Source organism: Homo sapiens, chromosome 5, assembly GCF_000001405.40.
Source record: "Homo sapiens chromosome 5, GRCh38.p14 Primary Assembly".
Taxonomy (NCBI): domain Eukaryota; kingdom Metazoa; phylum Chordata; class Mammalia; order Primates; family Hominidae; genus Homo; species Homo sapiens.
In genome coordinates this window covers 77,340,795-77,356,833 of record NC_000005.10, presented here as the reverse complement: position 1 = coordinate 77,356,833, position 16,039 = coordinate 77,340,795, and the positions used below count along the sequence as shown (strand labels likewise).

Genomic DNA, 16,039 nt, shown 5'->3' with positions numbered 1-16,039 from the left:
GGTCTGTCCAATAAAAATATTGTGTGAGCCACACATGCAAACCACATGTGTAATTTAAAACTTCTAGTAGCCACATTAAAAATGTAACAAGAATAAGAGCTGATGGCTGGGTGTGTTGGCTCACACCTGTAATCCCAGCACTTCGGGAGGCTGAGGCAGGTGGATCACCTGAGGTCAGGAGTTCAAGACCAGCCTGGCCAACATGGTGAAACCCTATCTCCACAAAAAATACAAAAATTAGCCAGGCACTGTGGCGCAAACCTATAATCCCAGTTACTTGGGAGGCTGAGGCAGGAGAATCACTTGAACCCAGGAGGCGGAGGTTGCAGTGAGCTGAGATCGTGCCACTGCATTCCAGCCTGGGCAACAGAGTGAGACTCTGTCTCAAACAAAACAAAACAAAACAAGACACAAGAGCAGATATAATGTCAGGGCCCTAACTGCCTCCTTTTTTCCCTATGCAATATGACTCTTGGACCATGGTTGCAGATCCTTGAAATTCTGAAGTCTGAGCCATGAATTTGCATTTGGATTTTGTCCTTGTGAAAAGGAAAAAGCCTCAGGGGACCTAGGTTCTCGTGTCCGCACCAGTATGCAGGGGCTGAGATAGGCTTTGAGACAGGACGCAGAGGCTAGCACGAAGGCAAAAGGTGCCCAAAGAAGTGTATGAAGGGGAGAAGGGGTACTTCTGGGAGGTCAGGGCAGACTGTTGCTGGCCTAAGAAAATGGAACATCCAAGAAAGAAAATTATCTTCAAGAAATGAAGTCAGCAACCTTTTTCTGTGCAGGACCAGAGGGTAAATATTTAAGCTCTGCAGGCCACATGGCCTCAGCTCTGCCACCACAGTATGAAAGCAGCCAGAGGTGCAACACACTAGAGAGTGTGGCTGTGTTCCAATAAAACTTTATTTACAGAACAGGCCATATTTGGCCTGCAGGCTCTAGTTTCTTGGCCCCTATTTTACACAATAGCTAAAAATCCCAGACAGCCTCCTTAGGTCCTGGGTTTTGAGCTCCTCCAGTGCTTGATTCACATTTCCTCTGTGCTGCATTCTATTTATTCTGTTTACCTGTCTGTGGCCTCCCTGACATTGGGGGCAGATGCATTGTGTCCCTGGTGCCAGCACAGAACAGGTGTTTAACACATATTTGGGGAGAAAGTGTGTGTGCAGAGGAGAGGAAGACAACAGACAAACCTCACTGAGCATTTCCAGCCTCTTGGCAAAAAGCTACAGGGCTCATACAGGAAAAGGGATCTTTGCTGACGGCAAGCCTTACCAGGAGAGAGCAGCCTGGCTTACCACGTCACACCTTGTTAAAATGCAAACCCATGGGCCGATTTTGACATCAGGGCTAAACCCCAGAAAACCACACCACCGGAACCGCCTGCAGACAGGTGCCCTCCCCAGCACAGATCCCATTGCCATTCGCTGCAGCCTCCTTCGATGAAGAGGAAAAACACTGTAGTTAGCCAGAGGTATAAAAATGCTTTGTTATTAGAAAATCTAAATGTCTCTCCAGGCCTGTGCAGTACCATTAGGTGACGTCAATGGCTCAGGGTATCCGAGCTCTGCATTTCCTCTTTTCTAGGAGCAGCAGCTAATTCATGGTAGTAAAGGCGTTTCTACTTAGAGCCTCAGAAAAAAAGCAGGTGGCCCCCCACCCCTGTATCCTAAAGTCCTGTGCTAAGGGCTTGCCTGCTCTCCCTGTGAGGCAGGAGGGCTTTACAGCTGGCAGGAGGCCAGGACTGAGACATTCAGTTTCATTAACGCTAGCCACCAGCTTGAGGGCCTACTACATGCCAGGCAGTGTGGGCACACAAGGACAGCACAGACCAGTGGCCCTGCTAGAGGGGAGAGGGCAGTTTAGCACGCAAATAGCTGTGAAGATGATGGCGGTGGTTGGTGGGTGATACAAAGCAAAGAGGGTACCTCAGGGGCCTTCAGAAAGAAGGTGATACTTAATGTTTCTTGCACTGGGTCATGAAGGACTGGTAGGACTTGGGCACATGGAGTTGCAGGGAGACTGGTGACAGGGAGAGTAGGGGTCCCTGTCATTAAGTGAGAAAGAAGGTAAGGAAGAGGAGCAAGGCTGAGTTGGTGGGGGAAAGGCATGAACTGGACATGAACTGTGCTTGGTCAATTTCTGGCATGAGAATGAATGAACCCCAGTGGACCTGTGTCCTCTACTGTGGATCCACAGCCAAGAAATGTTGGTCTGCACTGCTTGTGTTCAGAAGTTTGTCTCGAAAGAGACACCAGGTGTCCTGTCCCTCTCTTTCTGCCTGCGTCAGCTCTTATGAAGAACTCATTCTTTCTCCTGGTATGTAGCAAAATGTCTGTTGGAACCCTTTTTTTTCCCTATGAAAGGCCATTCTTTCCTTTACCAGAGGTCTCCAAGGACTTGCCTCTTGCATGACTTCATGGTATTATGTGAAAACATCCTGATTTCAGATGAGATTCTCAGTGCTGGAGGAAGGACTTTATCTCCAACTATATCTTATAAAGGAGCACATGGACGTGGACCCCTTTGATATCCTGAGACAACCGACTGAAGACCCTCACGGGCTCACTGGGCTCACCCCACTGTCTACTCACGTCCTGCTGGTTCCAGTTGATCTCCAGGCCTGGCTGGGCTTCACCTTCTCATCCAGCACTTCACACATCTCTGCCATCCTCTACTAAAATGGATTATGCCACAGAAGCCCTTGAAATCCTTTAGAGATACTGTCCCTCTTTAAAATCCTCATAAAAATCAAAGACCACATGTTGTAAGTTTTCAAAAATAGATCACTGATAATTATGTTTGTTGTATAATTGTTAATCTACAAATTACAATGCATGAAGTGAAAATACACATAATCCAGTAGTAAAAGTACTAATCAAATAGAAAAAATACCTACACCAATGTTGCCCTCCATTACAAAATTACCTTAAAAAGTTCTTAAATAAAGTGGCTTCTTAAAATTCTGTTACTGCAGATGATAACATCCAGATGTATTCTTCTGTATGATGTAAGGGTAAGAAAAAATTGCAGTACTAATTTGGAATGATTCTTGTTTTTGATATGAATTTGTAGGGGTGCAATGCTCAAATGGATATATACTTTCCAACTGATTAAGAAATTAAGATAAAAATAGAACATTTTTTATTTGGAGGAAAAATTTTATGCCTTCATATATTAGTCTAGAGAGTTCCTCAGCCACAAGCTAAATCATAACCGATGTGCACTACAAATAAAGTGATATAGGTTTGCTGGGAAATAAAAAGATTTGTCAGAGGAACCAAATTTTCCCATAAATCTGCTTAATTGGCAGCTACAATTAGACATGGAGAAAGACAAGCAGAGAACAGTGGTGAGATAAGCAGAGAACAGAGGTGACGCATGGCCAAACAGACAGAGCAAACGAAGTGAGCTAATACCATACCTGCTTATTATTGTCAGTGGTACAACACAGTTTCTTGAGCGAGACAAAATGCCTAATTTTCCTAATAACAAATAATCAGTTATTAGTGAGTCAGATATGAGATGATTCAACAAATCAGCAAATAAAAATGTCAACAGACTTCTTAAAGCTAAACTCCAGGGTTCGTCCTAGGGCAGTTTTAAAATTCAAGCAAGACTCAATCTACAGAAAACACAGTTTTCACACAGAGCCCACACATGCCTTTGGAAACTGGGCCTCCTTTATACATCCTAGAGGGCTCAGAAACACTTCCCTAATGGGTATGTTATTTTGTAACTGACTCCTAAAGTTTGGTTCCTAGATATCTTCAGTTGATAGGATAAAATGCTGCTACAAATAAATTAGTTTTAATTCTGCTGATACTAATAATTGCATAGCTACAAAAGATTCATTTGGACAATGACCACATTTCATGGCTGCTGTTTTTATATTAAATATCCCATATTCTTTCACACTATAATTGTCATAATAATGGCACTTCTCAGGCAGATAAAAATCCTCTCATTTCAACGTCATGGACTGGGTCCTGAAACTCAGTGGGCAGCCTCACTCTTTATCACTGTCACAAGGAAAACCGGGCAAAAGATGACAGGTGCCTCAGCCCCATGCAAAAATCAGCTCACAGTCAATATTTTACTGAGAGTAAAACCATGAAATCCAGAGAGTTACATTAGGTTTTTTGCCCCCAGAAGCCCGTGGGGTATCCCACTCTCTCTCTCTCTTTACCTGGTTCACTTTTCTCTGTAGGCCTCTGAAAAGAGGATATAAAATACTGGTTACTCTGTAATAAACTTCACCCAACTAGGAAGAGGTAAAATTTCCCTACTTTTAATAAGAATTGCCTCTGATAGCTCACTGCCTACAATTACAGGGAAAATAACACTGGAAATTGTGTCTGGACAAAAGAACTTCTTTTTCTTATCTGTAAAATCAGAGAGACCAGAAAAGTGTATTCTGTTGGAAATTACCAGGCAATAGCATGTCTCCTCTGCTTTGGTTGCCTAATGATTCTGGTCACACACACAGAAAGGGATTCTTAGCTTTGATTTTCTGAGGAGATGGTATAAGGATGAGGATAAAAACAATGTGACAGTCACGGGCATCATCTCCACCCCACAGTTCTCAGCACTGCCTGTGGGTGAGAATGGCCACGCTGAGGCCAGGCTGCTCAGGAGGAGGGCCGAGGGGCAGCCTCTCTCCAGCTCACAACCTCGGTCAGGGGCCTGTCAGTGCCCCCATCATCCAGAGTGAAGCAAAAAGGGAGCTTCAAATTACAAAATGGCATGAAATACCAGGTGGTATTGACGGGACGTAGCCTGAATTGATGGGAGAGCAATTTTGAAACTAACCAAAATTGGAGGGGAAACAAGCTATTACAAATACCTGGCTGATTTTATGAAACATCTCGTTTTCTATTCATACAACAATTTGCAAGGAACTCAGGTAGTCCTAAGAGTCACAGGTGGGGCTCCTGTTCCAGTTCCTGGCAGGATGACTGTGGCCTCATCTTTTTCTGACATGTCACACAACGTTGTGTTCCTTATACACCCAAGCTATGAACCTGGTGTTGACCTTCAGGCTGGCTCCCCACGGCTCACCATGATGTATGGTTAGGGGGTCCTGTTTGGCTTTGTAAATCTCACAAAATTTAACTGGAGGAAGGAAGAGGAATTGCATATTTTTCTTATCTCTCCACAAAAGAGAGAAGCTTCTCTGGTAATCTGAGATTCAGTGGATTGAGATGCCCTCAGCTCCTGGTCAGACACACCTTTCTCTCCATAAACAGTGGGCCTCCAAGGAACAAGTCCAGAACCGGCCTGGAGGAACCAGCATGGAGCGAGGGCCTCAAGCAGGAGAAAAGGTTGGCTCCCTATGCACTGAGTGCAGAGGCCAGAGAGCACCAGCAGGAGATCATTGTTGTTATGGGGAAAGGGAAGCCCAGAAATCAAGCCCCTTTAGAGCACACTGGGAATGACAGAAGGCATAGGTGATCAGGTGGAGGTGGGAGGTTGGGGTGATGCTTCATAAAAGACATGGAAAACCATGTTTGGGGGTTGCTGCCGGCTGAGTGGAAGCACCCTCGATCTATACTACATTCAGCACAACCCTACTGCATTTGTGGATGTAAGGCTCATACTGGCATTTCAAGCCCAATGCCCATGAGGGCCTTGAGTCTTTATCTTCAGCTAAAAGAGTTGAACAGTTTGCTCTCACCCTCCTTGGCCAATCACTGGGGTGATCTTCACGTGCTGTTGGATGCTGTCCCCGGATTTCCGTCTGGCATAGTAAACCCCCTGCCACTCCTACATGGACAAAGAGAGCTCTTAAAATCCTTCAGTCAAGGATGACAGCTGCTCCTGCAGAGGGTCTCAGAAGGCTGAGAAGGAACATTCCCACATGCTCTCGTTACATTTCCCAATGCCTGCTGTATTGTTGTACCCAGTGCAATGCTGATGTGGCCACATGTGTGAAAACAAGACCACAGATCCACATATCCACCACCAGGTTGTCTGTCCCAGCTTCCAGGACACTTGACCTGTGGGTGGAATTCTGCTCTCAGCCCTATGGCTGCTGTGGCACCAGGTCAAGGGATTCTTTGGAGGTCTCTCTCAAAATCTTCACAGCAATCTGTGAACTTGGCATTATCATACTAAATTTACAGGTGGGTAAACTGAGGCTCAGAGAGTCTAGGTAACTTGCCCACATGAGGATGCAGAAAATCTGCGTATAAATTCATGTCTACTTAACACTCGCTGAAGCCCATCATCTTCCTAACATCCTACGGGCCCCCCAGCCAAGGCTTCTCGGGGGTTACTCTGGCTCCTCTTAGCTTCCGTGAAAGAGGCCAAGGGGAGAGTATTGGTTCCTGTTCTCTGAACATGGGAGGTTTGGCTAATCAGAAACTGAGATTCCGATTCCCTGCAGCCATTTCTTGTCCCCTCTATCACATAAGGTGGCTAATTGGTATGCACCTTGGTATGTGTGGCTATATTCTTTTGGCAACAATCTTTGGAATAGTTAACAATGTCTTGTTTCCTTTTTGGTCTCATTGCCTCAATTAAAAAAACATTTTGATCATCATCTATAATCCAAATTTATCTTATCCCTCTAAAATGTTCCCTCTATTAAATGGATACAGGGCTTATTTAACTACTTCACATCACAGAAAGGAAGATGAAAGAAATTGTATGTGAAGAAGCATTCTGAATGCTTAACAGAAAATGCACAGGCAGTTCCAGCGATGAGAGGCAGTGCTCTACAGGAGGAGAGGGCTTCAGGGAAAATTCCTCTCGGACTTCCATCATTACCTTCATCTACCCAGATGAAGGGGAAGCCACTGGAGGAACAGGTGCAGCTGGGAGGAGGAAGCTACAAATGTATGTTGAACAGCGATCAGAGAACAGAAAAGGAAAACTGGGAAAAAAACCTGGCCTACCTATAAATACTGGTATTAAATATGTCTAGTCTCCCAAACACTGGATAAACTGAAAAAACACAACAGCTCTCTGGGTGGAACTCTGCTCAGAGATACCCACGATATTCCAGCAATGGCAGATGGGACATATTCATGCACAGGATGAAATGTTTTCACACAAAATCACCAGATTCTGTACCATAATGATAAGCACCAGATTCACTTGAGTTCCAAAGTTAACTTAAAAACGAACTCATTTTGCAAACATAATAGATCTTTCACTTAATTATGACATTATTAAAAAAGCTAATCTTAAGGATGAAATTCTAAAACTCAGAAAAAAAAGTGCATTGGGGAGAGGGTTCGTGGATTGGTTTTGCTGGTGTAACCCACCTTTCCCTTCTTGATGCATGTATTGATGGTGTCGAGAAGGTCTGCCCGGTTCTTATCGCTTTTGGGCAGATCAGCGAGTTCTTTTCCCAGGAGCTCACCTTTGTGGTAGCCCATCATCCTTTCGAAGGCTGGGTTGACATACTGTTAATGGGAGGTTGGTACAGATCAGTGCGGGGACACAAGACAGAATTCATGAAATGTCTGTGTGCCCCGTAGGAAGACTTGTTGGGACCCAGAGGAATATCAAGCAAGAAGTTCCCAGGGCAAACATTCTCTAATGCAGTTAGCTGGCCAGGTCCTGCTGCCCCTTTCCATCCCCAAACCCTTCCTGGAGGAGTTCCCTCCTTCCTGGCAGCAATTTATTCATTCAACTGCCATCCTGATCCCCTGTAGGATATCAGAAGAAACTTCAGCAGGAAAAACACAGGAAGCCCTCATCTAGCAGTACCAGCCTCTTGGGGAACTCATTCACCATCTACCGCCCCATGAATAAGGAAAAACTCAGACAAAAAAAGAAATAAAAATAAATTAGGACTGGGTCCATATGTTTGTAGTTAAAAAAAGAAAGTTTCAGGCTGGGCACAGTGGCTCATGCCTGTAATTCAATTCCAGCCCTTTGGGAAGCTGAGGCAGGAGGATCAGTTGGGCCCAAGAGTTCAAGACCAGCCTGGAAAACACAGCTAGACTCCACCTCCACAAAAATAAAAAAATTAGCCAGTTGTTGTGGCACACACCTGTAGTCCCTGCTATTCAGGAGGCTGAGGCAGAAGGATCACTGGAGCCTGGGAGTTTCAGGCTGCAGTGAGCTATGATTGCACCGTTGCACTCCAGCCCAGGCAACACAGCAAGACCCTGTCTCTTATAAACAAACAAACGAACAAATAAGAACTCCATTCAACAGTGGCGGCTTGTATTATGCACATCTCCACAACTGGATTTCTCATGTCTCCTTTCCAATTGCCACTATCTATTGATCAATGTTTGCTACAGTTTGGGGACACTACCAGTAGAATCAGAACAATAAATTCAGTTAAATGGCTGGGGCAGGAGGCAGCCCTTTCAGTGCTGGGCTCAGGCAGGTGTGAAGCTCCCCTCGGCAGATTCTGGGGCCAGCAGACTCAGAGGTTTCTTTTCAAAATTCTGCCTGGGGTCCTGGAATTTAGAGCCATGACCCTAGATGACTCCCAGGTCCTGTCCCACCCTCTGATTTCTTTTCAAAGATCACAGATGGGGGCTGAGTGGAGAGAGACAAGCGGTGAAGAATGTCGGGAAAATGTAAACAGACTGCATCTGGGTCATGAATTTCTTTGGGCTTAAATTGCATCCATCTGCTGCTTCGGAGATGTTCGAACCAACTGTAATCACTCTTGCCCTCAACTGTGATGGCAGCAGTCATGAACAGGGTGGCACAGGGACACTTGGGGAGCTGTTCCTTGGGAGACACAGCTTCTATTAACACGATCAACCCTGAGAGTTGAAGGGGTTTGGAAGATGCTCTGGTCATCAGGCCTTTGGTGGGTGACTGAAGAGAAGGAGGCCTGATATTGTCTTCATGGATCTCCAGACCCCCTCCTGGCCCCATTACTGACATGTAGTACTCAGGGCCCTCCCTAGGCAGGGAAGGGCATCACTTACAGCGTAGCCCCTGCTCACAAAGCCAGCCTCATACCTCCCGGGGCCACCTCTGCAGGCTGCTGAGCTGTCTGCATGTCTCTCTCATCTCCGGGCCTTTCCCCACGTGCTCTCTCTGCTTATAATACCCTTCCCTGTCTCTTTCCCTCTCCAACTCCAATTTATCCCTCTTCTCTTCCAGGAAGCCTTCCCTGATTCCCCTACCTAGTCCACTCCCAAGAGCTGCCACTGATGCCTGTGCAGACTTTCAGTGACTTATTACACCGAATTTAAATTTTTGTTTATCTCTGTCTCTCCCAGTGGACATTCAACTCCTCAAGGGCAAAGGCTATTTTGAATTGATCTTTGGATACTCAGGACTGTTTATTAACTATTTGAGGAATGAATAGAAAATATTAGAGAATATATTATTTTCTTTATTTGTTAGCCATATTCTCATACCTTTTCATGTGTGTTCATTCTGCCTTCCCTATTAAGTTGTAAATTTGGGTAGAAGTCATGGCCCTTCTTTCACACCAGGGTTCCTGAAACCTCAGAATGCAGCAGGTACTCCCAGATATGGATTCTGGAGCCAAGGCACCCAAGTTCAAATCCTGGCTCTGCCAATTACCAGCTACAGAACCATGGACAAATTACTTAACTTCCCTGGTCCTCAGTTTCCTCATCTGCAAAATGAGTACAATAGTGATACCTGACTCACAGGATTGCTTTAAGAAATAAATGAGTATGTGTGAAATGCTTAGAACTGAGCCTAGTATATGGCAAGTAACAATTAAGTGTTTTAAAGCAAATACATATAGAGTTTAGATAGATGGGGGCATGGAGGAAGACAGGAAGGAAAGGAGGGAGGAATGGATGGGTGGATAGATAACAGATGGATAGACAGACACAGATAGGTAGATATTGCTTCTAAATTTTAAGTGCTGCTACTTGACCTCTGAAGATTTGTATTCAAAAAGGCATCTAACTATTTGATTGGAGTGCCCTGAAAAGGATGCTGATATCAAGTAAGAACATATATTAACTATCCCATCCAATGATGACATCCTCAAAATTTATAGCACATAGGTAATTTCACCATACATATAACATCCTCTATTCAGCTCCTTCCTCCTTCCTCTTGTTTTAAGTTCCATACTACAGATTGCTGATACATTTTTCTAAAGGAGGATGAAAAGGTTCCCTGAGAAAAAAGCTGTAAGGTCTTCTTTCAGAATCCAAGTTTCCCTTTAAAGGCAGTGACTCTCCTTCCACCTCTCCTTTACAGGCATCTGTTATACTGGCCTCATGCTCCTGCTTCTTCCTGTTCATCGCAAAGGCTGGGAGATGATTAATATCATAATGTGACACCATCACAATATTACCTCTCCCAAGGATACAGGTTTTCTAACCACCAATTGATAACTGGAGAATGAAAGACTCTGTTCCCTATTCTAGAAGTTGTTTGTTAGATTACAGGTGGAGGGGCGGCTAGTGGGCAGGGAGCCCCTTCTCCTCATTTCTGAAATCAAATCCAGCTGCACACTGCAAAACAGGGAGGTGCAAAGCAAATGTGCTTCATGAATAGAATCGATTGTCCAAGTCGGGGTATAAGTGGGGGAGATGTGGGATTTTTGTGCTTGGTCTGTAACAGAAACACGTCTGGCTCTCTCTGAGGTCCAAGAGGCAGACCTGTGGGCAGGTGGGCCACTAAGAGCCAGCATCATGAGGAAGCCTTCAGATACATTTCACGGGGCAGCCATAAAACATATTCTAACAATACAGCTAAACAGGAAACCAGGTAGGAAGGCTTTGGAGACATGACTACATATTTTAGTTCTGATACTTATTACTAAGGCTTTCCTTGGATAAGTTCCTTGGCCTTGTTGGGACTCAGTTTCCTCATCTGCACTATAGGGCAATGATGTCTCTTGCCTACCCTTATTGAATAGAAATGAGACAACCTAATGAAAGTGCTGATGACAGGGCCTAGGCAGGGTGGGCTATTGATGTCATTGGTCTGGTATGAGAACAAGGTGTGTATGTGTGCACTGGGAGATTTCAGGGCAGACAAATGTGAGGCTTCTGCTGTGGGCTTCGCTGTGTGTTGCCCACTGTCTTTGGTGCCCTACTGATAAGTGCTCCTCACACTCCATGCCACTCTGCAAACCAACAGCAGGCAGGCAAGCACCAATTCGTGGAAAGTCTATATTTCAGGGTATTTTACAAATACAGATGTCTTACTTTCCAACAATTATAATAAGAACACCTCATTTCTTGAAAGGTTTCTCTGCTACACACATTTCCTTAGGAGGATGACATTCATGTAAGAATGCTTTGTAATTAGGATACCCACTGCAGGTAAACAAATGAATGTCTTTGAAAATACTCTGTTCCCTAGACATTTATAAGCATTTGCTGTACCATTCTGACTTACTTCTATGTCAATAGTGTCTTCACAGATGGTCAAAAGAATTTACCCCGGTTCTAGCTGGGTGCAGTGACTCATACCTGTAATCCCAGCACTTTGGGAGGCCAAGGCAGGTGGATCACTTGAGGTCAGGAGTTTGAGACCAGCCTGGCCAACATGGTAAAACCCAATCTCTACTAAAAATATAAAAATTAGCTGAGTGTGGTGGCACATGCCTGTAATCCTCGCTACTTAGAGGCACAAGAATCACTTGAACCTGAGAGGCAGAAATTATACTGAGCCAAGATTACCTCTGTACTACAGCCTGGGCGACAGAGTGACAATCTGTCTCAAAAAAATAAAATTTTTTTAAACCCCATTTCTGTCAAAGAAATTGCAGGTTCTGATCTGAAGTAATAATTTTTTGTTCTTTATTGAATATCTAATTCTTAAGTCTATCAGTATTCTTTGCACAGCTTGATATTTATTTCTCCTAAGAAAATGTGCTGATACATGAGGATGATGGGAAAGTACTTGATAAAAAGTGTGGCTTAAACCTGAAAGGTTCATTTTGAATGTTAATGATAGAGGTGGTTTCTTTCCATACCTGAATCACGTGGTCATCGCTTGTTATTTCTATGGCTTCATGACAGTGATCTAATGCTGTAAACACTGAATTACAGGCCCTGAAAGTTATAAAAGATTGAAGTTAGTTCTTCTATGAAAACCATTCACATTTCATCTGTTAATTTAACAAAGTAAACAGATACCAGGTTCATCAAATCTACGTACTTTTTGTTATTGCCATGGTCTGAATGCTGATGTCTCCCAACAGTTCATATGTTGGAATCTAACATCCAATGTGATAGTATGAAGAGGCAGGGCCTTTGGGAAGTGGCTAAGTCAGTGGGGCTTCATCCTCATGAATGGGATTAATGCCTTTATTAAAGAGGCTCCAGTGAGCTCCCTTGCACTTTCTGCCATGTGAGGACATAGAGAGGGTGCCATCTATGAGGAACAGGCCCTCACCAGACACAGAACCTGCTGGCACCTTGATCTTGGACTTCTCAGCCTCCAGAACTGTCAGCAATACATTTCTGTTGCTTATAAATTACTCAATTTAAGATACAGTAATGCAACTCATAACGATATTTCAACAATGGACTCAATATACAATGGTGGTCCTGCGAGATTATAACCTAATTCCTATTGCCTAGTGGTGTCGTAGCAGACATAACACCCTCACGTGTCCGTGATGATGTTGGTGTAAACAAGCCCACTAAACTATCAGCTGTATAAATGTGTAGCAATACAGTAATGATGTACAGTATATAACATTTGATAAGATATAACTAGGATACTGGTTTATGTATTTGCTATACTATTTATCATTGTTTTAGATAAAATATTCCTTCTACTACTAAGAAAAGTTAACTGTAAAGCAGCCTCAGGCAGGTCCTTCAGGAGGTATCCCAGAAGAAGGCATTGTTATCATAGAAGGTGACAGCTCCATGTGTGTTATTGCCCCTGAGGACCTTCCAGTGGGACAAGATGTGGAGGGGGAAGTCAGTGATATTGATGATCCTGACTCTGTGTAGGCACCAGCCAAAGTTTGTCTTAGTTTTTAACAAAAAAGTTGAAAAAGTAAAAAAAAAAAAAAAAAAAGATTTAAAAATAGAAAAAAGCTAACAGAATAATGTTATAAAGAAACATTTTTTTTGTACAGCTGTGAAATGTGTTTGTGTTTTAAGCTAAATGTTATTAAGAAAGTGAAAAAGTTTAAAAATATAAAGGTTTATAAAGTTAAAAAGTAGCAGTAAGCTAAGGCTAATTTACTATTGAAGAAAGGAAAATGTTTTAATGAATTTTGTGTAGCCTAAGAGTACAAAGCTGATAAAGTCTATAGTCCTATACACATAATGCCCTGGGCCTTCATGTTCCCTCTCCATTCACTCACCAGCTCACCCAGAGCAACTCCCAGTCCTGCAAGCTCCATTCATGCTAAGTGCCTTATACAAGTGCACCATTTTAACTCTTTTTATACTGCATTTTTACTGTGCCTTTCTATGTTTAAATTCACAAATGCCATTGTGTTAAAAGTATTTACAGTATTCAGTACAGTAACATGCTCTACAGGTTTGTAGCCTAGGAGCAACAGGCTGTACCACGTAGCCTAAGTGTGTAGTAAGCTATACCACGTAGGCTTGTGTAAGTACACTCTATGATGTTTGCACAATGACAAAATCATCCAACGACACATTTCTCAGAACATATCCCCATCATTAAATGATGCATGACTGTATTTCATTATTGCAATCCTAACAGACTAAGAGGGTTAATAATATGCTTTGAGGGAAAAAAACTAATCTTTCAAACTAAATGCATAAACAATAGCATATATATCTGTGTGTATGATACAAAAAGAATTGTAATTCAGTGAAATCTTCGTGGATCATGGAATGGACTATGTGTGTGCTGAATGAAACTTCAACACTAACACGAGGCAATGACGTTCTTCTGTTTCATTCACAGTTGTGGTCATGGAGAAGTTAAGTCTCCAACAATTAGAGAACTTAACTGGGCCCAAATTGGATGTGAGGTATTCTGGCCTTTTGCAACAGACACAAAAACATTTTTTCTCCTTTTTTGCTGTTGTGATGTTACTCGGCTTCCAACCATTCCCCCTGGCATGGTGAAAGGCAAACCCAGCAGAACTCCCCTTGCTGGTTCATTGCACCTCTGCAGCTCTCCAGTGGGGACTTTTCTTGGTGACCTTCCCTATATTTCTGGAATATTTGGAATCAAACTCTCATTTTGTTTATCATAGTTTTAACTAATTTCCTAATCTAGAGCAACTCCAAATACAGTAAGCTATTTACTGTCCAACACAGCAAGCATGTAGCTAGAGCTCTGTTATTTATACTGACTGTTTAAAGAATCCCAATAAAAAGCTTTCTTACACATTACAAAATAAAAAAAAACTGTTGATTTACTGGATTGATGTTTTTTCTTTAAAAAAAAAAACTCTGAAAAATGTTATTTTTTTCCACTCATAAAGGCATTCTAACTTTGTCTTCCTATTTTGATCCGTTTAGAGGGAAGAAGGCAGAAAGAACTGGGTGAAATCTGGCTCTGTATTTTTCCAGTTATGCGACCTGAGGCAACTTTTTGTCTTCAATGGCCCTCAGTTTCCTCATCCATAAAATGAGGATAATAATACGTATTTCACAGGTTTTTGTAAAGATCAAAACAGATAGTTTATGTGAGGCATTTCTCGAAGTGCTTGGGACAATATGAGAATACAACACATGTAGATACCTGTTGTTATGTTTAAGATCACAGAGTAATACTTCTTTGTTCTCTAAGGCTTTCAAAAGGCTTTGGTGAAAAAAATGAATCGTAACCTATCTTTTCTCATAAGTATACCTGAAATGTCAAACCAAGAACTGTATTCAATAATAGTGAGGTATGCGTGCGGAGTGCAATATTTTAGCCAACTGCAAGACGCCATTCCTATAGTTGCAGAAATGAAGATATCAGTGTGAGAAGGTAAGTGTAACAAGTAATCATGATACGGGTTAGAAGAGCAGAGGAGAATATTAACCTAACTCAACTGAAATGGCTTACAGGCGCAGTAGTATATTTTCTTATTTAAATTGCTCCAGTCTACCTAATTTGAACTGTATACTGTCTTAGTACCACCACTTGTAAACACAATTTAAAATAAGAAACAAGAATAAAAGGGGGCTTTAAAACTGCTACCAAATTTGTCACTGCACTGCCTCATAAGAGACAGCAAGAGCTAGTCTTATCAACAGTGTTTTCCAGGCACCTGGTCCAAAACTGGACGAAGCACTGTAGGGAAGGATTTCCTGGGCAGCAGCTGTCTTTCAGAAGTCACTCTTGGAGAAACACACTCTATGTGGACTAATTTGTTAATTTTGAGAGCTGGATAATTAAGCTTTAATTAACACATTTTATCAAATGACAAATTCCTCTCTTGCCTAAGTATTTTCTCTAACTATGTAAACAGGTTTCAACTAAGTATATAAACAGGTACTTCAGACTATTATCATTTTCATCAATTCAAGAGGTTGCCTTTATACATGATCTTAGATCCAATCTCCAAAATTTATTAAACATTCATTTTATGATTATCCACAAAGCATGAAATTTTCAATAAGTATAAAGCCCCATAAGACAAAGTAAATGCTTATCAACAGTTGAAATGAAAGGATATTGGTAGAAAGAACACACTATTTCCCACCCCTGCCCCCCACAACAAACACTACCAGACCACAACGTTTATTCAGGCTCTCAACCTCTTTGGTTGATGGTTCTATTTAAATAAACCTGCAGCAAAATGAGATAATCAACTTGAGTCATGTTTCTAGAGTTTTAGAACTTAATTGCTTGTATTAATTATTCATACTCTTCTGGCAGAAGAACCTTAGCTTTATTAATATCTGTTCTTGGGAACCATATAACTCTTTTGTCTCAGGTATCTTTATGTTTTATTCTTCAGGTTAAAAAGTTGGAAAACTAGAAAAAAGAAACACAAGGGAAAAGTAACCTAGTTGTGGGAACCCATGAAGTATAGGTAATATCACCACTTTCCCTGCACCTTCTTAAGAGCCCTCGAAGGTCCAGAGAGAAAAGGTAAATATTACAGGGGTCCAGGTATAAAGTCTATAAATAATATAGTGCTATGCTGAGTGGAAAGTGCACCAGACTGAAAAAGCAG

At 42.4% G+C, this 16,039-nt stretch overlaps 1 protein-coding gene across 27 annotated transcripts in view; it reads right to left on the bottom strand.

Annotated features, from left to right (window-relative positions):
• PDE8B (phosphodiesterase 8B) overlaps positions 1-16,039 on the bottom strand; it is a 341,542-nt gene that overhangs the window by 71,423 nt on the left and 254,080 nt on the right. For 16 of the 27 annotated variants that reach the window (NM_001414622.1, NM_001414623.1, NM_001349750.3 and 13 more), the window contains 4 exons: positions 11,903-11,981; positions 7,275-7,415; positions 5,681-5,769; positions 3,428-3,488 (listed from right to left, as the gene is read on the bottom strand). In NM_001414622.1, coding sequence (NP_001401551.1) covers positions 3,428-3,488; positions 5,681-5,769; positions 7,275-7,415; positions 11,903-11,981 — 370 coding nt within the window. The remainder of the gene's footprint in view (positions 1-3,427; positions 3,489-5,680; positions 5,770-7,274; positions 7,416-11,902; positions 11,982-16,039) is intronic. The other 11 variants (NM_001376073.1, NM_001376074.1, NM_001376075.1 and 8 more) reach the window with 4 other exon arrangements.